The sequence below is a fragment of the Homo sapiens genome, chromosome 1 (assembly GCF_000001405.40).
Source record: "Homo sapiens chromosome 1, GRCh38.p14 Primary Assembly".
Classification (NCBI taxonomy): domain Eukaryota; kingdom Metazoa; phylum Chordata; class Mammalia; order Primates; family Hominidae; genus Homo; species Homo sapiens.
Window position 1 is genome coordinate 54,200,131 of NC_000001.11, and position 27,585 is coordinate 54,227,715.

Sequence of the window (27,585 nt, forward strand, 5' to 3'; positions counted from 1 at the left end):
TGGCTGCCATTCCCAAAACGAGCTTTGGCGCCCGGTCTCATTCGTTCCCAGCAGGCCCTGCGCGCGGCAACATGGCGGGGTCCAGGTGGAGGTCTTGAGGCTATCAGATCGGTATGGCATTGGCGTCCGGGCCCGCAAGGCGGGCGCTAGCTGGCTCCGGGCAGCTCGGCCTTGGGGGCTTCGGGGCCCCGAGACGCGGGGCGTATGAGTGGGGCGTGCGCTCCACGCGGAAGTCGGAGCCTCCTCCCCTGGATAGGGTGTACGAGATCCCTGGACTGGAGCCCATCACCTTTGCGGGGAAGATGCACTTCGTGCCCTGGCTGGCGCGGCCGATCTTTCCGCCCTGGGACCGCGGCTACAAGGACCCAAGGTTCTACCGCTCGCCCCCTCTTCACGAGCATCCGCTGTACAAAGACCAGGCCTGCTATATCTTTCACCACCGTTGCCGCCTTCTCGAGGGTGAGGCCCCAGGACGGGCGGCAAGGGACCGTGTTCCTCTAACCAGCACCGACCCCGACCCTCTGTGGCTTTGGGCAAGACATTGAAACTCTGTGGGTCTTGGTTTCTTCGTCTGCGAAATGGGGCCGTAGTGATTCCCGTCTTCTGAGGGTTGTTAGAATTGAGTTGTAAGGAGCTGGGCCTCTGTGCAGGAGTAATAGAGAGTTTGCGTGTCAGCATGAAAAGAGCTGCTTTCTAGGCCTAGCCCTGGCTCTCTCTCTTTGACTTTGGGCAAATGGCTGGCCATCCTGGGCCTCTATTTCCTGGGAAGTGAATGGTTTTGACTGGACAGTCCACATTGACCTTTCCAGGTCTGACATTCTGGAGATTAACTGTATATTTTAAAAGTAGTTGGAGAGAGTTTATAGTGGAGACAGCAGGATGTTTAATCTCCAGGCCTGTCACCTCTTAAGCCCATGACTACTCCTCTGTCACTCTCACTAGGGACAGATCAAAATGACTTTGCCAAAACCAGCCTGTCTATCTAGAACAGTACCAGAAATTATTTTCCAGAGTCCATGGAGAAGCTTGTTTATCCCTTTCTCCATTCTTCCATCTTCCTCAAATCAGGATAGGGATGGGGCAGGTCTTGAAAACAGAATGGTTGAGGTAAGTGGAAACAGTATTTTCCAAGGAGTGATTAGGGGGGAAAAAAAAGGCAAATCTGGCAAGATTGGGGGACTAAGCCAGAGAATAAATCCTAGGTTTGAGAAAACTTAAGTCAATTGGCCAGCCTCTTAAGCTTCTCAATTCCATTCCTGAAAGCTGATTTTCAAGCCTTTAAACACTTCCAGTGTCCTTACAAGGTAGTGGGAAGGATCTCACAAGACTTGGCATCCTTGAGTGACCCTGGTAACAATACCAAGTGGATGAATGCATTAGCAGTATTTTAGACGTTAAGATTACATTCGTTTGCCTAGGCTGAAAATGTATTGTGTATCCTATGTTTTTGCTGCTCACAGAGAGGTTCTGTAGGCTGTAATAAAACTCTGCAGGATACAGGGCTAGAGAAGCCATTTGGGGTAATGGAGAGAGGTGATGTTCTTTAGGGTAGACATACTCAGATTCTCCTCCTAGCCTTGTCACTTACAAAGTATGTGAGTTGGAGCAAATTCCTTAGTCTCTGAGTTTCATTTTTCATTTTATGAAATCCCATCTAACTTGCAGGTAAAGCTCCTGGCACAGGGTAGATGGTGACTTTCAGTAAATGGCAGCTCTAATTATCACCTATTTTTCATATGCAAATAGAACATAAAGTCTTAATATTTTATCTATTGTCAAGTTTAAGGAACAGTGGCGGTGTCAGAGCTAAAACTTAGTTTATCTGACTCCCAGTCCAGGGCTCTTTCTGCTGCACCACAAAATCCAGAAGTTACTTTTTTTTTTTTTTTTGAGACAGCATCTTGCTGTGTTGCCCAGGCCAGAGTACAGTGGCATGATCGTGCCTCACTGCAGCCTTGACCACCAAAGTTCAAGTGATCTCCCACCTCAGCTTCCTGAGTAGCTGGGACCACAGGCGCATGCCACCACTCCCGGCTAGTTTTTTAATTATTTGTGAAGAGGAGGTCTCACCATGTTGCGCAGGCTGGTCTCAAAATCTGGGACTCAAGTGATCCTCCTGCCTCGGCCTCCCAAAGTGCTGGGATTATAGGTGTGAGCCACTGCCCCTGCCCAAAAGTTACATTTCTAAACATTTATATTCATATTCCTGGTGTGATGTCTTATGGATCTTAAAGTGAAAAGTCTTATTGTACTTAGTGCCTTTCATTTGTTACCACAAGAGAAATTGCCTGAGGGTGTCTCCCCCAAAGTATCTTAAGCTCCCTTCCATCCGAGACATGGTCTCTTTCCTTCCTTCCTTTCTCTCTGTCTCTCTCTCTCTCTTTTTTTTTCTTTCGACAGAATCTTGCTCTGACACTCAGGCTGGAGTGCAGTGGCACAATCTCACTGCAACCTCTACCTCCCAGGCCTAATCTATCCTTCCACCTAAGCCTCCTAAGTAGCTGGGATTACAGGCACATGCTGTCATGCCTGGCTAATTTTTTGTATTTCTTTTGTAGAGATGGGGTTACACCACATTGGCCAGGCTGGTCTCAAAGCAATCTACCTACTTCAGCCTCCCAGAGTGCTGAGGTTATAGGTATGAGCCACTGTGTCTGGCCCAGACACAATTTTCAAATGAAGATATGACCTTGAGTCAGAGAAGTGTTCTTCCAGCTGAGATGGGTGGTCTGCCAACCAAGGCAGCCAGCAGCCTTCTGTTAATTTTTGGGCATGATCATTGAGAAGAATATAGTATTGACTTTTCATTTGAAAATAGAGGACTGGTGTGTTTACTTGATCCAGAACTTAGATACCTAGGTCTATGCATGTTCCTCCCTTAGAGAAGCCAAATTTGGGGAAAGTGAAGCTAGGGAGGTCTTTGCCTGGCACCACAGCCCATCCCACTGAGAGTAGCTAAGTTTCTTTAATGTTTAAAGACTATCAGGCTAAACTGAATCTATTTTAGTTTGCATATACACCATCTTTTATTTATTTATTTATTTTAGAGACAGGGTCTCTGTCACCCAGGCTGCAGTGCAATGGTGTGATCACAGCTCACTGCAGCCTTGACCTCCTGGGCTCAAGTCATCCTCCCACCTCCTGAGTTACTGGGATTATAGGCATGAGCCACTGGGCCTGGCTACGTATACGCCATCTTTTCTTGCAAAGTATTTTGGGCAGCTTATTTATAACACAACCAGATTAAATTAAAAAACAGGCGAGGGGATCAGTACAAAGGAAAAATAAAACAGATAATACAACAAAAATTCATGATGTGAGGTTCTACTTCATTTACTTTTTTTTTTTTTTTTTTTTTTTTGAGGTGGAGTCTTGCTCTGTTGCCCTAGCTGGAGTGCAGTGGCGTGATCTTGGCTTACTGTAGCCTCTGCCTCCCAGGTTCAAGTGATTCTCCTGCCTCAGCCTCCCAGGTAGCTGGGACTTCGGGCAAGCACCACCACACCCAGCTAATTTTTTTGTATTTTTAGTAGAGACGGGGTTTTACCATGTTGGCCAGGCTGGTCTCAAACTCCTGACCTCAAGTGATCTGCCCACCTCAGCCTCCCAAAGTGCTGGGATTACAGGCATGAGCCACCATGCCCGGCCTAAGGTTCTGCATTCTAAAGGGAAGCCCCAAACCTGGCCCTGAGCTTGCTAGCAATCAACAAATGGTACATAGCTAGGGTCAGCTAACTAGGTCAGCTGCTTGTTTTTATAAATGAAGTTTTATTGGAACAAAACCATGCACACTTGTTAATTATTGCCTATTGCTGCTTTTGTGCTCTAGCAGAGTTGAGTAGTTGTGAGAGAGACTGTGACCCAGAAGCTGAAAATATTTACTATTTGGCCCTTTGAGAAAATGTTTGTTGACCTCTGGTATACAGAAAAATATTTTCAGTTACACAATTTACCATGTCTATAAGACAAAACAAGCCAGGCACAGTGGCTAATGCCTATAATCCCAGCACTTTGGGAGGCCTAGGCAGGCAGATTACTTCAGGTCAGGAGTTCGAGACCAGCGTGGACAACATGGTGAAACCCTGTCTCTACTAAAAATACAAAAATTAGTTGGGTGCTGTGGTTTATGCTTGTAATCCAGCTACTTGAGAAGCTGAGGCAGGAGAATCGCTTGAACCTGGGAAGCGGAGGTTGTGGTGAGCCGAGATCATGCTGCTCAGTCATCATGTCGCCCAGTCAGCCTGGGCGACAGAGCGAGACTTTGTCTCAAAAAAAAAAAAAGACAAAACAGTTCTGTATCCAGGAAAAGCCCAACCTTTCTATACTAAGGCCAGAGAGGTTCAGCTCCTTAAAATATTCATGAAAATCCGAAAGTTATTCCCAGTTATTTCCAAAGGTTCCTTTCCCTTGAGAAGGCAGCATGGGCTTATGCCTAGACCCACACCTAATAATAATGAGGTATATTTGGTAGACATAGACTATATTTGGTAGTTAGGGCTGGGGTGTGGGTTATTAGAAAGGATCTTAAATGAAAGGTTGGCATCCATCAATTTAGTACCATAGCCTAGGGTCTATCCCCTGCTTGCAGCATTCAGCCATATTATCTCAGAGGTCTTAGCCACTGTGTGAATTCCTCTAGTGGCAGGCGCTCACCACCTCAGTCACCTATTAACCATCCTGAAGTAGGTGGTCATTCCTGAAGGTGAGTTGAAATCTGACTTTCTTAGCTTCTGGTCTTCACTTTTGGTTCTATCCCCTCAGGTGTCACAGAACAAATCCAGTTTCTCACTTGAGGCAGCCTTTTTACTAAGATGCTACCTGGCAGGTGTAAGCATCTCTTCCTGAATCTTTTTCTTTCCTTCTTTATTTTTGTGGCTAATTACCTCAAAGGTGTAAAGCAGGCCCTCTGGCTCACCAAGACCAAGTTAATAGAAGGCCTTCCCGAGAAAGTGCTTAGCCTTGTTGATGATCCAAGGAACCACATAGAGAACCAAGACGAGTGCGTTCTGAATGTGATCTCTCACGCCCGTCTCTGGCAGACCACTGAGGAAATCCCCAAGAGAGAGACCTACTGGTAAGTTCCCCCAAGTAAAGAAGATTTCCTACTAATGGATCTTCGAGTCGACCTGTTGCTTTAAGTCCCCAAATGTCTCTTTTTGTCTTCAAGCCCGGTCATCGTGGACAACCTAATACAGCTGTGTAAATCTCAGATTCTCAAGCATCCTTCTCTGGCCAGGAGGATCTGTGTCCAAAACTCCACGTTTTCTGCTACCTGGAACCGAGGTTGGTCATCTTGTACACCAGAAAGCCTTGGTCTGTTTTTTTTGCCTTTCTACTCTTAACCCCACCACCAGCTCCCATCCCCCTGCCCCCAAATACCGATCCTTACTCCCATCATTCGTGGTCTCGTTTTGTAGGCTCAGACACACCCTCAGTATCATTAGCCATAGCCCAACCATTTTTGTTTTTAATCACTTTCTAAGACGTTAATTCAACCATTAACAGTCAGCCATATCTATTGAGTGCTTAGGATGTGCTTGGGAAGTGCCTAAATGTTGAAGGTAAGGAAATTTATAATAAAGCACATGTAGCCTCCGCCCTCACAATGCTCATATTCTATTGCAATAGTCTTCTTACCTCACTTACACCTCTCTCGTCTTCCAAATCCATTTTCATCATGGCCTGCTAGAGTGATCTTTCTAAAGTGCAAGTCTTTATGTCCCTGCCCTGTTTCAGATCCTTCACTGTCTCCTAGTAGTGTAAACCATTTATTGTGGGTTACCAGCCCTCATGATTTGGTCGCCACTTAGTCTTTCTAGTCTTATCTCCTGCTTTACTGCCCCCCACCCCATCCCTAAATTAGCCACTTTCAGCTTTTTAGCATCAAGCTTTCACACCATGTGCCTTTGCACATGCTGTGCATTCTGTCTGGAATACTCTTTTTTGTTTGATTTTTATTTTTGTTTATTTATTTATTTATTTATTTTATTTATTTATTTTTTTGAGACGGAGTCTCGCTCTGTCACCCAGGCTGGAGTGCAGTGGGGCAATCTCAGCTTACTGCAAGCTCCACCTCCCGGGTTCACGCCATTCTTCTGCCTCAGCCTCCCGAGTAGCTGGGACTACAGGCGCCCGCCACCACGCCCAGCTAATTTTTTGTATTTTTAGTAGAGACAAGGTTTCACCATGTTAGCCAGGATGGTCTCGATCTCCTGACCTCCTGATCCGCCTGCCTCGGCCTCCCAAAGTGCTGGGATTACAGGTGTGAGCCACAACGCCCGGCCTGTTTGTTTATTTTTTGAGACAGAGTCTTGCTGTGTCGCCCAGGCTGGAGTACAGTGGTGCAATCTCAGCTCACTGCAACCTCTGCCTCCCGGGTTCAAGCAATTCTTGTGCCTCAGCCTCCTGAGTAACTGGGGTTATGGGCATATGCCACCACACCCAGCTAATTTTTGTATTTTTATTGGAGATGGGGTTTCACCATGTTGGCCAGGCTGGTCTCGAACTCCTGGCCTCAAGTGATCTGCCCATCTTGACCTCCTAAAGTGCTGGGATTACAGACATGAGCCACTGTTCCCGGCCTAGAATACTCTTTTCTGCTTTCTTTTCTTTTCTTTTTTTTTTTTTTCCAGATGGAGTTTTGCTCTTGTTGCCTGGGCTGGAGTGCAGTGGCGTCAGCTCACTGCAACCTCCGCATCCTGGGTTCAAGTGATTCTCCTGTCTCAGCCTCTCAAGTAGCTGGGATTACAGGTACCCGCCACCATGCCCAGCTAATTTTTGTGTGTGTGTGTGTGTGTGTATTTTTAGTAGAGACGGGGTTTCACTATTTTGGCCGGGCTGGTCTTGAACTCCTGACCTCAGGCAATCCACCCGCCTTGGCCTTCCAAACTGCGGGAATACAGGCGTGAGCCACCGTGCTTGGCCCGCTGCTTTCTTCATTTAACCAAATTCTCCTTATCTGCAAGACTTCACTCAAGCCCCCCTTCTCTGTGAATCCAGGCTGGGGTATCTTTTCCTCCTCTGTGTTCTTTATGCCCATTCTGCCATCATAGCACAGATTACACTGTATTGTCAGTATCTACTGTCGGTTCTGTCTACCCCACTCAACTGAACTCCTAATGGCTGGGACCATATCTTACTCACATTGTCCACAGTGTCTAACAGTTCATGGTACACAGTAGGTGCTGACTGAAGGGATGTGTAAATGCATATACCTACTGTTGGTGTTTCAGGCAGGGATGTTCAGAGAACACAGGTGTTCTAACTGGTGGAATCCTGGAGCAGGAAAACCAGCTACGGAATGATCTGGGATTTCAGGACATCTGCTTGGTCAGGATTTGTGTATAGACTTCCTGGCAATGAGTCAGCTTTGCAGAGGTAATGACACCACTAAGGAAATTAGTGAACCTCATTAATAGAGGAGTACTTGGCCCATCATCAAGTATTACCTCTAATTAAACTACCCCATTTGGAGCTGTCACTGGAGGAGGGATATGGAGGGAATTGAATCAGAAACCACACAAGAGTGGTCTGTGGGGAGAATGGAAAACCCAAGGTTAAGAGAGGTCCATGCACATTTATTTTTCTTGCAGATTATATGTGAGGAAACAGGAAATACTTTAGAAAACTATTCTTGAGGTGTGACAGATCAGAGTTTATCCACCCCCAGATGTAGTATCCCTTTCTTACCTATCCAGTAAGGGAGGCCACATGCTAATTAATGACAGTGCTGTTGACCAAACCAATTCTTAGACATACAAGAAAACCGGCCTTGATCCATTACCATCACACTGTGGCTATTTCTGAAAACCCAAGCACCTTCTGAGAAAGATTTGCCTCCGTGGATACTCCTCAGGAGGCCATTCTCAAGGTGTTTTTCCAGGCACATTTTGTCTGGTGGTAGCATGTGACCTCCTGTGGGGACCTCTGTGAAGGGCATCTATGCATGTTCACAATGGCTGGCTTGCTGATGAGTCAGATGTGAGTTTGTTTTCCTCTTGTCACCTACGTCTGCATGTAGCATATATGCTAATCCGACTTCAGTGAGGCTGTTTGACTGGCTAGGGTTTTCTCACTCTCAGTTGTTAAGGACAATCTGGCCCCTTTCCTAAGTTTAAGAATCTCCTCTGCCTTGGCTGGGTGCGGTGGCTCATTCCTGTAATCCCAGCACTTTGGGAGGCCAAGGTGGGTGGATCATGAGGTCAGGAGATCAAGACCATCCTGGCTATCACGGTGAAACCCGGTCTCTACTAAAAATACAAAAACAAAAAAATTAGCCGGGCATGGTGATGGGCACCCATAGTCCCAGCTACTCGGGAGGCTGAGGCGGGAGAATGGCGTGAACCCGGAAGGCGGAGCTTGCAGTGAGCTGAGATTGCGCCACTGCACTCCAGCCTGGGCGACAGAGCAAGACTCCGTCTCAAAAAAAAAAAAAAAAAAAAAGAATCTCCTCTCTAACTCTAGTCTCAGTGCTCCTCTCTCTCTCCATCACTTCTTCCCTGCTGTATCCTACTCTAGTCACCTGGATTTCTCTCCTTAAATTCTGCCACGGAGTTGCCTGCACCTGACTTTTGCACATTATTCCTCCTTAACTAGAGTGCTTTTCCCCCTTTCTTTGCCTGGCAAGCTCTTACCCAGTGGTTTTCAACTAGGGACAGTTTTTCCCTCTGGAGAACATTTGGCAGTGTGTGGAGACATCTTTGACATGATGTGGATGGGGTGTGGGGAGTTGGGATGGGGAGGGAGTTAAAATGGCATCTAGTAAGTAGAAGCCAGGATGCTGCTAAACATCCCACAGTACACAGGACATTCCCTCCCCCCACTCCGCCAAAGAGTTATCTGATCCAAATGTGAATAGTGCTGCAGTTGAGAATCTCTGCTCTTATCCATCCTTCCAGATGTCATTTTAAGGCATTGCTTCTTTCAGGGAACTTCCCATTCCCAGAGAAGTTCAGTTTTCCCCACCTGTACAATTTTTGAATATGTTTCATCCTTTTCACTGTAGCACTCACTACCTGGTGGGCTCCTTGAGAGGAGAGAGTAACTCTCACACATCTCTGGTTCCCCAGGTTACAGCAGGTGCTCAGGAAGATCTGGATGGGGCAGGCTTCGCTCCCCAGAGACCATCAGCCCTCAGGGTTTACTAGGAAGGGAACACAGGAAGAAGAGTGCATTGGTTCATCCCCTCTTAGGGATCCCAGGATTAACATCCTAACTCAAAGTTTTGTGTTCTGTGATTAGGCTGATCAAGAAATGCTATAAATGACTTGAGGCACATGGGAGGATGAAGGCTTTAGACTTTGCAGGATTGAGAAAGTCTTTAATTTTTTTTTTTTTTTTTTTTAAGTTTTTTGAGACAGTTTCACTCTGTCACCCAGGCTGGAGTGCAGTGCCGTCATCTCAGCTCACTGCAAGCTCCGCCTCCCAGGTTCATGCCATTCTCCCGCCTCAGCCTCCCGAGTAGCTGGGACTACAGGTGCCAGCCACCATGCCCGGCTAATTTTTTGTGTTTTTAGTAGAGACTGGGTTTCACCGCGTTAGCCAGGATGGTCTTGATATCCTGACCTCGTGATCCACCCGCCTCAGCCTCCCAAAGTGCTGGGATTACAGGCGTGAGCCTACCATGCCTGGCCAATTTTTTGTATTTTTTAGTAGAGATGGGGCTTTGTCATGTTGCCCAGGCTGACCTAGAACTCCTGGCTTCCAATGATCCACCTGCCTTGGCCTCCCAAAGTGCTGGGATTATAGGCATGAGCTACTGCGCCTAGCTGCGAAAGCCTTTAGTACCAGGTTAGAGTAACCATTTTTCTCCCTTTTAGAGTCTCTTCTCCTTCAAGTCCGTGGTTCTGGTGGAGCCCGACTGAGCACTAAGGATCCTCTGCCCACCATCGCCTCCAGAGAGGAGATTGAAGCTACTAAGAATCATGTTCTAGAGACCTTCTACCCCATATCACCCATCATCGATCTTCATGAATGCAATATTTATGATGTGAAAAATGACACAGGTAAGGATCAATGTCTTGGACTTTTAGGCAGTGTGGAGGAGAAGGACATGCTTTTTCTGGAGGGAAAGGATATACTAAGAACTTGCTAGGTGCTAGGCACCTCGTGTGTATTACCTATCTCCTAGGATCCATGTGGCAGCCCCATGAGACAAGTACTATTATCTCCATTTCATAGGCAAAGAAACTGCAGCTCAGGGAAGTTAAGTGATTTGCTCAAAGACTAACTTTACTTTTTACCTTGGAGAAGTAACTCTATTACATCAGAGTGGCTTGAGGGACTTTTTTTTTTCTTCAGCAAACTGTATCATTGGGCGTTTGAGGGGCTTTTCACCAAGGCTTTTTCTTTATTCATAGGTCCCATGAAAGGCACCCATTTTCTGTTTACCTTGTAAACTCTGGCCAACCCCCTTTAGGAACTGAGGAAGCCCCATAGACATTGAATGGGGCCATTAATCCAAACTCCATCAAGCAAGGGACCACCATGTACTCCGTCAGGCAAGACATCACAAGGGAGTGAGACTAGGCTGGCCCCCACTTCCTGCCATCCACTGTGTCCTCATGAGCTGTAGCATCTTCCTCATAAACCCCTTCATTGTCATAGCCACAACCTAGGTCAGTCTTTACTGTCCTTACCTAGCCTATTGCCACAGCCTCCCAGCTGGTCTGTCTGACCCCACACTATTTTCTCTCTGGTCCATCTAGTTCATAATTCCAGAGTAGCCTTTCCCCAACACCACTTTCATCCCATCTGTCTTCATGCCCACCTCCCCGTGGCCTGTTGGTAAAGTTGGAACTCCTTTGCTTATCGTGAAAGGGCCTTCACATCTGGTCTCTGCCCCATCCCCAGCCTCATCTTTGCCTCCTCCCCTGCCTGCCCTGTTTCTTGTGACTGTGCTAAATTCATCATGCCCTCTCTCACCTCCATGCCTTGTCACTTCCTCTCCTTCTGCTGAAGCTCTTGGCCATTCTTCCCTTTTGGTCTTCAGCTTGCTAACTTGTCATCTTTCACAGTTCATCTTAGGAATGACTTTCTCTCAGAAATGCTTTGGGATCTTCCAGTCTCATCAGGGTCCTTCCGGCTGTCCTCCCACAGCCCCTGACTTACCTCACATCTTGACATGTCCCTCCATACAGATATGGTCAGTTTTCCTGTCTGTCTCCCCTCTAAACTGTGAGCTCCTCAAAGGCAGTGGCAGGCTCTGCTTGGCCTCCATTCCTGGTACCTGTCTTACAGCTTGGCACAGAGTGAGTTCTAGATATTTACCTGTGCCGAATACCTGAGCAGGCTGAAGGACCAAACATGCAGGAGAGCCATGCCTCCTCTAGGCTTTTCAGAGCCTACATTATTTTCCTAGCCTCTTTTTTTTTTCTTTCCCTGAGACAGGGTCTCTCAGTCTGTCACTCAGGCTGGAGTGAAGTAGCACAATTGTTGCTCACTGCAGCCTTGACCTCCCAGGCTCAAGCAATCCTCCTACCTCAGCCTCCTGAGTAGCCGGGACCACAGGCATGTGCTACCACACCTGGCTAATTTTTGTATTCTTTTTAGAGATAGGGTCTTATTATGTTTTCTAGGCTGGTCTAAAACTCCTGGGCCCAGGCGATCTGCTTGCCTCAGCCTCCCAAAGTGCTGGGATTACCGGCATGAGCCACCATGCCCAGCCTTCCCGACGTCTTTCTTTCTTCTTTTCACCTATATTCAGTGATCCAGATCACTTATTCTAGAAGTTCCCAGCCTACCAAGAGTTACTCGTAGCCATGCGGGAGAAGAGAATCATGACTTGACAAGGTCATGGCTGAAAAGAACAAGTACTAAACTTTGATTCTCAGCACCAGTGTTGTGTGGGTCAGTTGTGAATGATGAGGCAAGTCATTTGTCACTAATATTAAAGTAGTAAATTTTGCAAATGACTTGCTTTCTTTTGAATAATTACCACAGATTTCAAGTTCTCCTTCTCCTAACATCACTGTCATCTGTGTGCCAGAATGAGAGAGAAAGGTGTGGAGTTAGAACTAGCTTGCAGGCAGCACCTATAACAGGTTGGCAGGCATTTTCTGTGAAGAGTCAAAACAGTAAATATTTTAGGTGTTACAGGCCACATATGGTCTCTGTCACAGCTACCCAATAGTCATACGTAAATGAGTGAATGTGGTTGTGCTCCAGAGAAAATGTTATTTACAAAAATAGGTAGCAGGCCAGATTTGGCCAGCAAGCTGAAGTTTGCCAGCCCCCGAGCTATAGTGATAGTATCCACCTTTGTTGAGTCTCTCTGTAGCACCTGTCCCTGGGCTAAGGCGAGGTGACTTTCCTGAGGCTTTGTGGCAGGCTGATGAATCCTTTCCACCCCTCCACATAATTGTGTCTCTTGCAGGATTCCAGGAAGGCTATCCTTACCCCTATCCCCATACCCTGTACTTACTGGACAAAGCCAATTTACGACCACACCGCCTTCAACCAGATCAGCTGCGGGCCAAGATGATCCTGTTTGCTTTTGGCAGTGCCCTGGCTCAGGCCCGGCTCCTCTATGGGGTATGTAGGTGGAGAAGACCACTGAGTTGCTTTACGTGGTGTTGGTCTCCTCCCTTAAGGTTACTGCTCAGAGGAAGAAAAGGGATATAGGGGAACTGATTTCTTGACTGAGGAGTTTTAGGGAGGAGTACTTCAGCCCACCCTGTGGAGATGAGCCAACATCACTAGGGGGTGACTGCCTGTGCTTCACCTAAGTAGCTCACTTGATCACAGTAGCCCACATGTTTTTACTGAAGTCCCCACTTTCTAAGCTATGCCATAGAATTACAGGGAGGCCATGCAGCTTATCAGCATTACACAGCACTAAGTGGTGGAGATAGGACTGCAGCTAGGTCTGCCCCACTCTGAAGTCTTCAGTTGTTTGTGCTGCAGCATGCTGCCTCTGTTCTTGTAGTGGCAGAAGTGGAGCACAGGCAGGAGGAAGTGGAGCAATAGAGATGGCCAAGCCCTGCCTGCCAACTCAGGATGGGTGCTGGGGACCCAAGATACTCGTTGGTGTTATCCCCTGATCCTAAGAGGAGGTTTCAGGGACCTAGATGGTATAGAATACAAACTAACTTGTCACAGAGAGCTGTCCCAAGATGGGGAAAGCCTGGCTCTGGGAGCAAAGGCCTCCAGGGAGGGGAGGGCTATATGGGAGCCCTCAAGCAGGCCTGGGACACCAGATCCCTGGTTTGGGGTGTGTTGGGGGGTAGTTCATGAGAGCCACTGCTGGACCCCCAGGTCTTGGTTAGAGCCTGAGTCTTTTCTAGAGGAGGAATGAGGAAAAGTACTGTTTCCCATCTTATTTGGCCTAGGGGGAGTTGGAGAGCCATGGTTAGCCAAATGGATAGGGAGTGGAATGGGCCTTGCCCAGATTGAGCACCTGCTGCATACCACACATTTATTTAGGGTTTTTATTAAAAAAAAAAATCAGTGGTTCGTTCGTAAAATATAGTCTTGGATTAGCAGCAGAAGCATCATCTGGGAACTTGTTGAAAAGGCATACTCTCAGACCTACCCCAGACCTGCTGAATCAGAAACCCTGGGGTTGGGGCCCAGCGATCAGCGTTTTAACAAGCCCCCCAGTTATGCTGCTACAAGCTCGAGTTTAAAAACCACTGAACTGGCCGGGTGCGGTGGCTCACGCCTGTAATCCCAGCACTTTGGGAAGCCGAGGTAGGAGGATCACTTGAGGCCAGGAGTTCGAGACCAGCCTGGCCAACATGGCAAAACCCCATCTCTACTAAAAACACAAAGATTAGCTGGGTGTGATGGTGCATACCTGTAATCCCAGCACTTTGGGAGGCCAAGGTGGGAGGATTACTTGAGGCCAGGAGTTCGAGACCAGCCTGGCCAACATGGCGAAACCCCATCTCTACTAAAAATACAAAGATTAGCTGGGTGTGGTGGCATGCACGTGTAATCCCAGCTACTCGGGAGGCTGAGGCATGAATGTTGCTTTAACCCAGGAGGCGGAGGCTGCAGTGAGCTGAAAGATTGCACCACTACACTCCAGCCTGGGTGACAGAGTGAGACTGTGCCTCAAAGGAAAAAAAAGAAAAAAGAAAAGGCAACCACTGAACTGAAATTTCAGAACATGGCATTATTTAATCCTTGTAGTTTTTTAACCCCATGTGGCAGATGCTATTAGCTTCATTTTATAGATGGTGAAACTGAGGCTCAGGGAGGCTAAGGAACTTGCCCAAGGATACACAGCTAAGAAATTAGTAGCTGTCAGATCTTTATGTGACCTTGTGTCTTTCCAATCCTAGGACAATTGTCTTTATTCCCATTCTCTGACTATATACTTCCTGAAGGCTCCGAAAGATTAGGTAACTTGTCCAAGATCCCACAGCTAATGAGTGGGGAAGCAAAGCTTGGAACATGATCTCTCCAGTTTTGAAGGATGTGCTACTCCCAACTCAGGCAGGAGAAGGAGGCAGAGATAGTCACAACCCTGGTCCCAGGCCTGCAGACTCGCTGTAGCCTCTGTGCCAGCTATTGCCATCAGAGTCTGGGTAGCAACGATACAACTAATTACCACCCAGTTGGGTAGGAGTGGAGGCCTCCTTCAGCCCCTCCAGGCACAAATTATTCCTGGGGATGTGAAGTTGAGCAATTATGGGAAGAGCCTCCATGTAAAAGGTAAAATTGCTGAGAAATTTATGTACTACCTGCAGTTTTATTGATCTGTAGAGGGAGATAAGAGTCAATACAGAATTCTCGGCTAACACTTACAGGTACTTTTCTTTTTATTTATTTTTCATGCAGCTAAGAACAGGTATTTCTAAGGCCAACAGCCCCAGTGTGGCCCACACTGAGGTCTGACATTAGGTATTCCTAATGCCAGATTCAGCCCCAGTGGGGTGAACACAGGCAGCATTTTTGAATCAAGGATGGCCTGCTTCATGGGGCCTGCCTGTTGGATCTTTGTTCAGTGAGTAGCAGTCACCAAACTGGATTGCTGCAAAGTCTCAGCAGGTCACCATATGATTTATCTCCCAAACTGGGACACCATTGAGAATAATGAGGTGCCGCTATTAGATACACTGGGACACCAGGATTAAACCAGAACAACAGGGCTTTCAGTGACTTAATAGCATGGAGTCTGATCCCCATGGGTGACCTGGAGCAAATTATACCACCTCTCTGAACCTCAGTTTCCTTATCTGTTAGTGGGAATATACCTCTAGATTTATGAGAGTAGAGGTGACCTGATGTAAAACTGGCAAGATGCCTGGCACCTGAGAGGCCTTCAGTAAATGATTTTAGGTGTTACTACTATTACCAAGTGGCAGTAACTAGAAGAGATCAGTAGCAGGAGTTGACTGGTGAAATCCTGGCGCTGGCATGGCTGGAGTGGATACTCCAGAAACATGGCCCGTGCTGAGTTGCAGCGTCAGCATGAAGCCCAGTGAATGTGACTGCCAGGCCCTTAGAAGCAAGGCAGGGGCGTGGGGGAAGGGTGTGGTCTGGCATGAGCCTGTTTGGGTTCTACACCACCCATCTTCGTGACTTCCGGCAAGTCACTTTACCTCACTGAGTCTCAGTTTCCTCATCTGTCAAATGGGGTGAGAACTGAATGAGATTATATCTATCCGTTGACCCTCCGGATTCACATTTGATAGCTGATGTCACTGTGGTCCTTATCAAGTAACGCCAGGAGTTTGAGGGATTTCTGTCATTAACCCCCCAGCTGGCCTGCCTGAACTCTGGCTTGCCTGGAAATCGCCTCTCAGTGGCAGGAACTATTACTTTGATGTGCTCAAATAGAAGAGCAGGCACCCTGGGGCCATGAGGCACAGCCAGCCTGGGTGAAGGAAGGCCCGGCCCTGGACAGTGCCCTGAACTCCTCATTCTATTTTAATTGTCCCAAAGAGAAGCCATTCAGTGGACGTAGGTGGACGTTGTAAAGGGAAGAACTAGAAGCTGCCTGGGCCGTGCTGTTCCTTACACTCCACAGCTTCTGATTTGTTTTCCTTGTCCCCTTTTCCTCTCAGAATGATGCCAAGGTCTTGGAGCAGCCCGTGGTGGTGCAGAGCGTGGGCACGGATGGACGTGTCTTCCATTTCCTAGTGTTTCAACTGAATACCACAGACCTGGACTGTAACGAGGGTGTCAAGAATTTGGCCTGGGTGGACTCAGACCAGCTCCTCTATCAGCATTTTTGGTGTCTCCCAGTGATCAAAAAGAGAGTGGTTGTGGTAAGTTGAGCCATCTCCTGCCTGACCCAGGAGGGCCATGCCTCCTCCTACCTGGTGTGAGCCTCAGGTGGGATTGCTGGGGTGCTCTGTGAGGAGAGCCCTGGCCCTGGGGACTTCCCACCCGGGATCTCTGCCTGGAGGACTCCTTCAGTCCCGCCCCTACCTAAGGCCCTGCCCAGTGCTCCACTCCAGCTCCTGCTTCCCTTTGCACCCTCCAGCCAATCCAGCTCCTCGCAGCTCCCAGGGTGCTCTGCGGCTTCATTAGCTCTGGCCTTTGTAGGTGCTGCTCCTTTTGTCTGGGAGGCTTCTTGCCTTCTCCCCTCCCCATTACTGTTTGTCAGGCTATCCTCCACTTGTCCTTCCAGGTTTAGCATAAGTGTTTCTTATTTTGGGAAACTTCTGACCACCACCGTCCCCATCCCAACCCTCACTTAAGTGCCTCAGGTGGGCTGCCCTGGCCTCCGTATTCCCCCATCAGAGCACGATCACATTGCTGTGCGTAGAACCTCTTCACATGTTTTTTTTCCTCCACCAAACAGAACTCCAAGCTCCTAGATCCTTGAGGGCAGGGTCTGGGGATGCATTCGTTTCATCCCACAGATACGGAGTTCCTCCTGCGGCACCATTGTGCTGCACCCCACTGCTCAGCTGACGGGGTCCAGGCCTGCTCTCTGTGTAGTGGGCAGTAGCAGTATCTAAATAAATTCCTGATAGAGCATCAGGCAGTAATATGCACCCTGGAGAGACCTACAGCAGGGTCAGGACTGCGAAAGCGGAGTAGGGGTACTGCCTGCTCTGGGACCAACCAGGCCCCACACAGGCCTGAGTGTGGGCTTGCTAAATGGAGTCGCTGAGCCTTTGAACATTCTCAGCAGGTCCGTTCTTGAACTGGTTCTCCAGCAGCTCTCAGTGCTGTTTCCACCTGAAATGCCTGCTGGGTCTGTGCCCTTTGCTTTGGCCCCAGACACCCTCAGTTCACCTGCATAGTCACACCAGCCACCTCCGTGCTCTCTGCTCTTAGTCAGGTTTTCCCTCCTGACTCTGTGTCTTCAGGTTCTCTTCCCTCAGCCTCTCCCTTCCAGGATACTGACTCAGGGCTGGGCCTGTTGTGGTTTGGAGACAGCTTCTCCTCACCTCTGCAGCCTCATCTCCTGCCGCTCCACCCCTCAGCATTCGCCCTGGGCTCCAGCCCGATCTTGCCCTTCCTGCCTTCATTTCTACTTCTTCTATTGCATGTGCTGGGCTTTCTGAAGTCTCCTTCCTTTTCTTTTTCTTTCTGCCCCATTCTGCTCACCCTTCCATGTATAAATGTCGGCAAGTCAGTCATTTCTTCCTGCTTTCTTCTTTTTCCTACTTCTGCAGTGGGGTCTGTCTCCTTTCATTTTCACTATTTGAACAGCTGACGGTAAGCTCCTTGAGGACAGGAACCAGAGTCAAGTTACTGCTGTGTCTGTTTCCAGCACAGGATATAGGCGCAGCAGAAAGCAAGCAGGTGCCCAATAAATGTGTGTGGAATGGGTGAGGGATGATTGTCCCTGGGATTAGAGAGGGCAGCAGCCCATTTCAACCATCATTCCTGGTGGTGGAAGTGAGAGGGCCTCGGGAGCAGAGCAGCGTCAACAGTTGTTTTGGCTGAAGGGGGCTGGGAATGCTTCCTGTCCTCCCAGGCTACAGCCCCTCAATGCCCCTTCTTAGTCCGAGAGAGAGACGATGTCAGAAAAAGAAAGTTACTGTCCAGGCACTGAAGATTTACTTCAATCCAATCTTTGTTTTAATTGCTGCCGTTAAACCTAGTAGCAGGATCCTAATGAACCGTGTTCTTTCCAGGAACCTGTTGGCCCAGTTGGTTTCAAGCCAGAGACATTCAGAAAGTTTTTAGCTCTATATTTGCATGGTGCTGCGTGAGCGGAGGACCCCTCTGAATCCTGAAACCCCTCTTGCCTCTCTTCCACGGAAGAGGGCCTGGGCCCCGTGGAGCCTCAGTGCCCGTTTGGCCTGCTGCTCTCGCTGACAATAAAGAGCCCTTGCGTTGCACTGAAGCCTGTGTTTGGTATGAGGGTGCCATCGGGAAGGGCGCCCACACAAGTCCAAGCCCTGGAGCCTGACCTGCCCCAGCTGAAGCCCAGCTCTGCCCTTGACCCATGTTGTGATCTTAGATAAGGATCTTCATCTGTCTCTTTCCATTTCTTCATCTGAAACCTGGGGCTAATGTGACTTACCTGGCGTTGAAGACTCTGGGTTATGTGTGTGTAGTGTCTGCCACATGGCAGATACGCTGATGGTCACTAGGTTCTTATGGCATTATTTAAATTGTGGACACATTCCACAATGACTGCAGAAAATCTCGCTAGCATATTTATTGTAGATTTCTCCCTCGTATCCTGGTTAATGGGGCAAGTACACCCCTGGTTCAGCTGGTCTCTGTCCAAATAATGTCAAGTCCTGATCTGTGCCAGACACTGCTGCCATGCCAAGCACCTGATACATAGCATATTTAATCTGCACACACCCCTTACAAGGTAAATGTCATTTCCATATTCAAGAAAAATATTGCATGCCTAGCATGTGCCATGCACTGTTCTGGGCCCTAAGAAGAAAACACGGATAATTTAAGGAATTTGCCCACGGTCACCCACCTGGTGCTATAGGTCAGCTTCCCGAGGAAACACTTAGAGACTTTTATTTGGGGAGAACCTTTAGGACAGGAACCTGTGGAGAGCGAAGGCAGCAGCAGGTGGGGGTGGCGGGCCCAAGCTCAGTGTGGCTGCCTCTGAGGCCTCACCCAGTTCATGGGCACTCTGGAGCCAGAGGCAAGGGAGTTGAGCCTTCTACAAACACCCCTGGCCTGGCACCAGCCATTGGATATGTGCTGCTTCCTGACAGCGGGTGGGACCTTGGGCGAGGTGGCTTTGTTGGTCTGTAATTCCTGCTGAGGGACTGCTGAGAGCAGTTAGTGTGGGAACTTCCAGCAGCTGGAGGAGCTCTCAGCTAGGCAGTGGCAAAGTGGCGTCCAGCCTGTGTCTCTGCCTCCCAGGCTTGGGCTCTTTCCACTTGAAAGCTTACTTTTTAGGCTTGAGGGATTAGCAGGAAAAGCAGCAAGGCACAGAGGACCATGGGGACAGGAAGTGACTGGAAGTGGGGAGGCCGGAGGCTTGGCTGGGGCTGGAGTGGCCAGCTTGGGAGGGGCCTGAACACCAAGCACCTCACCTCCTAGGGCAGCTGACCTGGGGCTCCGGGTACTCTGAGCCCTGCTGCCCATTTTACTTTTTATTTTACAGACAGGAAACAATTATACATAAATGATAAAAGTTCAGAGTTCAGGGAAAGATAAGTCGACCCACCCAAGGTGATCCCTAGCTAGTCCTTTTCTCTAAGGTTAACAGAGCTTCAAGTTTCTTCCATGCTGTTGGTGAAAATGTGTATGTATCATAACAACACACATATATACATGACTGAAGAGTCATCCTATTTACAGCCTGTTCTGCACTTCCTTTTTCACCTGATGTCTCTGGATTGTAGGCTCTTGCCACATCACCACATAGGATCTCTTCGTTCTTTTGAGCAGCCACATTAGTATCTGTTGATGGCAGTCCGGGTTGTTTCCAGTTGTTATTAGAAATAATGCTGCAGTGAGCACCCTCGTTCATGTATCTTAGAGTAGTTTTGCCAGCAGAGCCATTGGGTAAGTTCCTAGCAGTGGAATTGCTGAGTCAAACGTTTTTTTTTTTAAACAACACTCTGTTGGGAGTACAGAGGAGGAGCTGGTGGGATGGCGGTAGGGAGTCCAGCTGGAGGCCACTGCGGGGATCCTGGGGCAAGTGGTGGTGATGGCTTGGCGTGATCCTGAGCAGGCTGAAGCCCCTGGAGACTGCTTGGAGAGGAGGGAGGGTGAGGTGAACTTGAGCCCTGAGCGAGTGGGACGGAGGCTCTGAGTAAGCGGACCATCAGCAGATGACCTTGTAGCTTGAGGACTGCCTGGAAGGGGGCCAGGGTTGCCGGGCAGGCCTGGGCAGCCTGTCCTCCCAACCCACCCTGAATGAGGGCAGCTCGGATGCTGGCCTTAGTGCTAAGTTGTGGAGCCTGGAACCCAACTACACTTTTGTGTCAAGGGAGCTGCAAAGTACAGCTGATCTGCAAAGTGGGGCAGGCAGGACTGGCGGTTTTTTTTATTGTCCCCATGGAGATGAGGAAACAGGCTTAGAGACCACATGATGCAGTGTGAAGAGCTGGGAAGCTCGTGTGTCATGACAGCTGCCCCCTCCACAGACAGGTCCTTGCTTCTCCAAATCCCAAATGTCTACCAGCTTCGTCCTCACTCCCTCATTCAACGCAGGAGAGGAAGTGATGCAGCGGAACTTGAGGGCCTCAGCCAGCCTCCCGCCCAGTACAGGCTCCCCAGCCAGTGAGCTGGTGAAGGAGCAGGAGCACGCTGCAGGGAGAGTGCTGCGCCGGGTCATGCTGGATAGCGAAACCCCACGAGAGGAACTTCCAGCAGCAGACTTTTGGAAATGAAATGGTGACATTCCCATTGTGAACGTATTTCTCACTGTCTCATATATTTAAATTCCTGGTTGTTCCATTCAAAAGTTCTTCAGTTCATTTCCAGCAAGCTTCAGTGGCAAGGGAATTCTAATTTGGCCTGGGGGAAAGCCACTTTTCCCCTCCTGTATTCCAGCTGCCCTGTCAGATCCTCCACTTCCTCGCTGGCAAAATGGGGATACAGCACCTCCCTTCCAAGTTTCCCCACCTTTGGATCAAATAGGCTCCATTCGCCAAGGTTTCAAGTCGATGGGTTTGGAGTTCTTCTTAGAAGCCAGGTGGAAAGGTGGACTTGCTGGAGGGGACCTCACTTTAGGCTGCTCTCTGTTCTCTCCCAAAGCTGGCTCAGGCTGGACCTGGGGCAAGTGTTTGGCAGAGGCTCTGTGACAACCCACAGGAGCAGGACAGGATCCTCTCGGGCTTTAGACAGCATCTCCCTGGTTCCTCTTTTGCTGTGGGTGAAAGTCTCAGAAAGCATGCAGGTGACCCGATTGTCTTGACTCTCTCTTTAACATGGACACTCAGATGTCCATGACCCATAAGGCCTACCTGCTTCACTGCTGGAAGACCCCCGATCCAGGGACCCTCTCCCCTCAGAATACATCTCCTCATATCCAAAAACTGCATCCAGGGGGGCGTGCTGCCCAGGGCAGGACCTCCATCCCTTAGAGGCCAGCTTGTCAGAGCAACATGGCCCCTGCCATGTTCACTCTCACACACGTGCACAGGCATACATGCGCGCACACATGCATACAGGCACATCACACTCCCACACATGCAGTCACACTCCCACCCACACACCACACACTCAGACATGTGCACACACACACACGTGTACACGAGACCCATGGATCTCCTCCTCCCCAGCTAGGCCAATGATGGAACCCAAGAATAGGTCCAGACTGGAGATTGAGCCCTGAGGTCCCTCACCGTAGACCTCCTTTGGGGGCAGCCCATTTAATAAGCACCTACTGTGTACCAGGTGTTGTGCTGGGAGCGAGTTACAGAATGAGGGAGACATGGTCCCCGCCCTCTGGGAGCTCCTGGGGTACTGGGTGGACACGGCCAGAGTGGTCTCCTTTGGATTGGCAGTAGCAGGTACCCACAAAGGCCACCTCCTTCCCCACACCTGGGCGCCTACCCACCCACAGGTGACAGCTTGCCATAGGGAGGGGTGCCACTGAGCACATTCTGGGGCTACTCAACAACATCCAGTTATTCCAAGAGCACTCATCGAGCACCTACTGGGCACCAGGACCTGTGCTGGCAATTCTCAGGACGAAGAGGGCTCTTACATGGTCCCTGGCTTAGAGGAGCTCCCAGCCTGATGGGGGAAGCATACACTGAACCAGGCTGTGGGGACCCAGGGAGAGAGCTACCCCAGCCTGGAAGGCTTCCAGGAGGAGGGGCCATCTGAGCTAGGTTCTGAAGGGCAAGTGGGAAGGAGGAGGGGCCAGCAGGAACAAAGGCCCTGGGGGGGCAGACATCCACAGAGTACTGCAAAGTTGGAGGTGAAGTGCTGAGGGGCAAGGAAAAGCAGGAGTGTCCATGGCCCTTCCATGCCCTGCAGCTATCTGGAAGCTGTGAGGAGCGTGGACTTGGTCCCAGAGTCACGGTGGGCGTGGCCACCTGGGTTCCCCACTAGCAAGAAGCCCTCTCCTCTCTGCACCCCTTTTCTTCTCGTGGTCACCAGGGCATCTCACTTTCCTGGTCTTCTACTCACTGCTCTGTCGCCTTTGTGGGTCCCTCCTATTCCCCAGATCTCAGGGCCCAGTCCTTCGGCCTCTTCTCCATTCATTCCCTAGATGATTTCAGCCAGTCTGGTGGCTTTAAAGACCCTCTAAATGGCAACAACTCCCATGGTATGTCTGTAGTTCAGACCTGCCTACTTGATGTCTTTACTGGATATCAAATCAGCATCTCAAATTTAACTCGCCAGAACAGAGCTCTTCCTGCAGCTTGCCTCACCTCCACAAACGGCATCTCTGTCCTTCCGTGTCTGTTCACTACTGTACCCCTAGTGCCAGAACAACCCCTGGCATAAAAGGGGTGCTCAGCAAACACGAGTGGATGGATGGAAAGAAGGAAGTCTATGGAGGCTCAAAGTGAGATGGTCTTTGTGGCACTGGAGGGCTGACATGGGAGGCAGGAAACCAAGGGCATGGCTGAATTCCAGAAACCAGATGCCAGGTTCTGCGGCTCCGCAGGCACCCTGGGAATAGAGAGAACACAACCTCTGCCTTTCAGCACCCACCCTCGTTGGTCTGATCTTTTACATCCAACCCCCAGCCCCAACTCCAAGCCCCCAGTGCTTGTACCCAGTGAGCCCAGGGCTGGGCAGAGCAACGCTCATCCGCCTGTAACCCCACCCTGCCCAGCCACTCTGCTCAAGTCCAGGGGAGCCCCATGGCCTGAACCCCAAGAGGCCCAGCTCCCCTCAGTTCAGGGTCAGAGCCCTCTGAGGGACCCCAGGTATGTTCTGGGCTCAATCTCCTGGAGTCTGTGGAATCTGGGAACACAGCCCACCACTTCATGGGACAGCCGAGACTGGGGCGGGGGATTCCTCAGGTCACCAGGGAGCCAGACTGAGCAGCCTTCTTACCCCCGCTAGAGCCCTGCTCTGGCCTAGCGCGTTAGTGGCTATGCTGCTGCTGGTGTCAGCGACTTGCCTTAAGTTTCTTTCCTGGCTCTGGGGCAGGGGGCAGTGGGGATGCCCAGCAGGGAGGCAGGTGTGGGGTCCTGTCTCAGGCCTGGTCCTACCTCTGGCCCCCCAGGCCGGCCGACCCCTAGAATCAAGTGCCTGTGGACAGCGATGACTCCAGCAGGAAAGCTGTGGTCTGGCCCCCGACTCCGGCACCTCTCAGTGATGGGCCGAAGCCCTATTTTGTGGAAGGACTGGCATGATGCTCCCTTTTCTCCTCCTCATTTCAGTATCTTTCCACTGGCTCATGTAGAGCTCTGGCCTGGCCCCAGGCAGTGATGAAAATGCTTAGTGAACAAGAACCAGTTCTTTGCTCAGAGATCTGCCCCTGAGGAAGGCCAAACTAACCTGCACCAGGGCCATTTGTGTTGTGAAGGCAACTGCCAGGCTGCCGAGGGGCCCCAGGCTGAGGGGTAGCACAGCACACAGCAGGCGCTCTTCCCAGGCTGGGCCCCGTGACCTGCCTTCCTCCAGCTAGGCACCCTGATCCCATGGCTCTCGTCTGTGCCTGACTCCTGCTCCAAGGAGCACAGGTATCGGATGGATATCCCATCCACCCAACCTCCTTTCCCCAGCCCTGGGTCAGCACCATTGATACAGGTTAGTCGCAGCCTCAGTCTCTTCATCTCTCCAATGGAGATGCTTTTCCAATAGTTCAAAGGTGTCTGTACTCAGCAAAAGCCTAGGAAACCTTGTTCCAAGGTGAAGAGGGAAGGACCAGATGGAATCTCCTAGATCCTCCCAGCTACTCCCCAACACACCCATTTGGACTCTCCCCACGAGTAACATCACTTGTAGCGAACACATGCTGCTCTTAGTCCGTGCACGGCACTGTTCTAAGCACTTCACGGTGCTAACCTCCTCACAGCCTATGAGGCAGCCAACCCGCCATCCCCCATTTTGCAGATGAGAGAACTGAGAACAGAAGTATCAACTAATTTGCCCAAGGCCACACAGCAAGTTGCAGCAAACAAGATTTAAACCTGGGAATTTGCTATCTGGTCCCCTAAGGGCTTTATAAACATGGGCTGAGCCTGCCCTTTGCTTGGACCCTCTGTCTCCCACCCACCCACCACGGCATCCGCTCCTGCTACAAGCCTAGAATGAGGTCCCCAGAGCTCCAGGGAAGTACAAAGTTCTTTCTAGTCGTGCAAGTCAGCATCCATAGCAGCTTACCTCACCCTAGCCCTCAGCATTTCTTGCCTAAATGTCGTCTGGGAATGCCTCTCTCCATATCTTGCCAGCCCCACCTGATTCATCTCCCAGGAGACCACCAGCATACACTTTCCAAAATTTAAGTAGACTGCACTACTCTCAAAACCCTTCAAGGGCTCCCAGTACACCTTGGAGGTTTAGGAAAAAAAAAAATCAACCTCCCTGTGCCAACAGTCGCCAACAGCAGGCACTTGAGGCTGGGGGCCTGGGGTGAAGCCAGTCCCACCCGAGGGGAGAAAGCAGGGAGTGGCTGTGGCCCTCCTGGCCGATAGCGACTCCCCATAGAAAACAGAGGGCACCAGGAGGAACCTTTTTCTACTTCCAGAAAAATAAAAGACATTCCAGCGGACCAAAATGTGTTTGCAAGACAAGAAATGGAAAATGGCTTTTAGACGGCCCCCAAATATTTAAAGTGAGATGGATACCTTCCCTCCCAACCCACCTTCCGCCAAGGCCATCGCGACTCCACAAGAACACAGAATTTGCAGGCCCAGGAAAAGAAGGCAGACGCCTCAAACACAAAACATCTTGTTATGCACCAGGAACAAAAACTGTGCCCAAGAAGTCACCTTGCATTTTGTAATCAGTGTAATAAACTCCAACCCACATTCCCCAAACATGTCAGGAAGGGCTGCGGAAAAAAGATGTCCCTTTAATAAAACGTTATCAACATATATCGTACACAAACTACAATGTATCATAATTACTTTTTTTTCCTCTCTTAATTCAGAACCAGACTACAAGGTAAGAAAAAACACAGAAACAGCTACAATGTTCCCAATAATCCGCACAAAGTCTTTTTTCAGGCAGATGATATCTCACATAATATGATATACATGGATCAGAAAGGGAGGGAGTAAAACAAAGACCAGCTACAGGGGAGGGAGGAAGGAGAAGGGCATGTCAATGTACAAAGAATTCGGGTGTCTTCCAGGGCAAGACACAAAGGTTTCCGTGGGGTGATGAGGTGAGTGGGGCCATGAGCACCCTCCCGGGAGGGGACAGGCTCCACTGTCGGGCTTGTTGGTTTTTGAAAGTAAAAACAGGACTGGAGCCAGCACGTCTGTTTGGTTGTCGGTGTCCCCCCACCCCCCACAGCTGCTCCAAAGTCTTTCCATCCAGTCCCAAGCATATACAGAGCAATTCTGATCAGTATCCCATCTTTGAGAAAGGACGAATAAAGAGAAAAAACAAAGAAAACCGGAACTCCAGCCCCCCAAGCCGGTGCACACGATGACGCTGATGCGAGGATCTCGGGACCAGAACGCGGAGGTCACTGTTTCCATGTCCCAGGTCATAGCCATCCTGTCAGTGGCAGCCTCTCCCACTCTGCGCCAGGCCACCACCCAGCTGGCAGGATTCTCACTGGGAAGACTGGGGTGGGGGCAGAGGAGGGGCTGGAGAGGCAGGGAGGCCAGGACGGAAGGGAGGTCCAGGAGAGGAGGAGGGTGTCCTGGGAACAGTGCATGCCACCGGGTCACGGTGACGGTCTGGGCTGTGGTGGAATCCTGAAAGGGGTCAGTGGTCCGGCCCCTCTGGCCACAGGATGAGGGTGCTGGGTTCTGGGGTCCAAGCGTGCCGCTGCTGTTGCCATGGAAATCAAGCTAGAACAAACGCGTCCCCACTCCTCCCCTGCCTGTTGCACAAACCAAAACCCCAAGTGGAAAACGGTGACTGCCTTTTCTTCTTTCCAAAAAAGGCCTTTTGAAAGAAACCAACGATTGTAAACTGTCCAGTTTATTATTATTATTTTTGATGGCTACAGACAATGTGGGCTCTCACACCTAGACTAGCTTTTCTGGTGGAAGGGCTTGGGCACAGACAGACAGCAGGGCTTCTGGTTTTCCTTTTTTTTTTTTCCTTTTTCCTTTTTTTTTTTTTTTAAGAAGAAAGCATAGAGGTTGATTGGGGTGGGGGGCTTGCTAGAAGCTTCCATTTAAAAAAATTTTCCCCCAAAAAACCCCCCTGAAAACAAATAAAAAAATCCCAACAATGGTAAAACCCCAAACAAAAAACAACAAAAAAGTGTCATGTACAGAAAAGGTCCTTTGGGGAAAGGGCAAGGGGTGGGATTTTTCTGGTCACTGACTTGAAATACATTTTTGAGAGTTTTGTCCTTCTTGTTTTATGGAATAAAAAGTTTGGCCTTTTTATTGCATGAAACTAAAATTGGGAAAGGTAGGGGGCGTGGATGGGGTGGGAGGGGGTTGAGGGGAGCAGGGAGATGCCCTCCCCACCAGCTCCTGGATAATGACACCTCACTTCTTGCATAATTTCTGGCATCTTCCCGCCTGCAATGCCTGCTCTCTCAGCGTCTCGGAGAAGGGGGGATCACACACTCATCGTCATGCTTGGAGAATACTGGAAAGGAGAAGCAGAGAAGGGGGGGGGGTGAGGATTGTGGGGAGGCCGCTGACACACCCAGGTGCCAAGAGCCTGGGGTGACTGCACAGAACTGAGCAGGGCTCATTTGGGGATGTGGTTGAGCTGAGGGGCACATGGTGGCATGGAGTGGGCAGGGGGCCGGTAGGGCAGGATAAGGGCCAGGAGGCGGGAGCTAAGAGCCACTTCTCAGTGCCAGCCTGCCCTTCTGTTGGGAACTAAGGCAGCTGACGGCGCCTCCCCTGCTCCTGCCCCTGTCTGAGTCATCCTCTCCTCTCCAATGGCAGTCACAGCCCCTGCCCCTTGCCCAGTGCAGGCCTCCAGACTGCAGGGAACTGGGCTTTGATGAGCCAGAGCACAGCCAGGGTGCCCTGGGGTGGGGCCAGTCTGGGATTCTTTTCTGTTTTTCTTTTTGAGACAAGGTCTCACTCTGTCACTCAGGCTGGAGTGCAGTGGTGCGATCAAGGCTTACAGCAGCCTCAACCTCCTGGGCTCAAGCAATCCTCCCACCTTAGCCTCCCAAGTAGCTGGGAC

At 49.9% G+C, this 27,585-nt stretch overlaps 2 protein-coding genes across 19 annotated transcripts in view, besides 2 other annotated features; one reads left to right on the forward strand and one right to left on the reverse strand.

Moving 5' to 3' along the window:
• On the forward strand, positions 37–25,359 carry MRPL37 (mitochondrial ribosomal protein L37). 2 transcript variants are annotated; one of them, NM_001330602.1, is made up of 7 exons: positions 37–459; positions 4,888–5,071; positions 5,165–5,280; positions 9,816–10,001; positions 12,371–12,528; positions 16,011–16,214; positions 24,995–25,359. In NM_001330602.1, exons 1-7 carry the CDS (start codon positions 114–116, stop codon positions 25,250–25,252), a joined length of 1,452 nt encoding a protein of 483 aa, NP_001317531.1. In that variant the 5' UTR covers positions 37–113; the 3' UTR covers positions 25,253–25,359. The 2 variants fall into 2 exon arrangements, with proteins under 2 accessions (NP_001317531.1, NP_057575.2); NM_016491.4 differs by lacking the exon at positions 24,995–25,359 and adding an exon at positions 18,042–18,253.
• Positions 53–302: an enhancer, noted in NCBI's record as "active region_1056". NCBI's record gives its function as "activates an Ori minimal core promoter by ATAC-STARR-seq in GM12878 lymphoblastoid cells {active_cell/tissue: GM12878}" and the evidence as "EXISTENCE:reporter gene assay evidence [ECO:0000049][PMID:35858748]".
• Positions 23,318–24,038: an enhancer, noted in NCBI's record as "H3K27ac-H3K4me1 hESC enhancer chr1:54689121-54689841 (GRCh37/hg19 assembly coordinates)". NCBI's record gives its function as "activates a minimal SCP1, AML or CMV promoter by ChIP-STARR-seq in naive H9 embryonic stem cells {active_cell/tissue: H9 hESC(naive)}" and the evidence as "EXISTENCE:reporter gene assay evidence [ECO:0000049][PMID:30033119]".
• SSBP3 (single stranded DNA binding protein 3) overlaps positions 25,302–27,585 on the reverse strand; it is a 188,059-nt gene continuing 185,775 nt past the window's right edge. For all 17 annotated transcript variants that reach the window (NM_001394365.1, NM_001394366.1, NM_001394364.1 and 14 more), the window contains one exon: positions 25,302–27,030. In NM_001394365.1, coding sequence (NP_001381294.1) covers positions 27,001–27,030 — 30 coding nt within the window. In that variant the 3' untranslated portion in view covers positions 25,302–27,000. The remainder of the gene's footprint in view (positions 27,031–27,585) is intronic.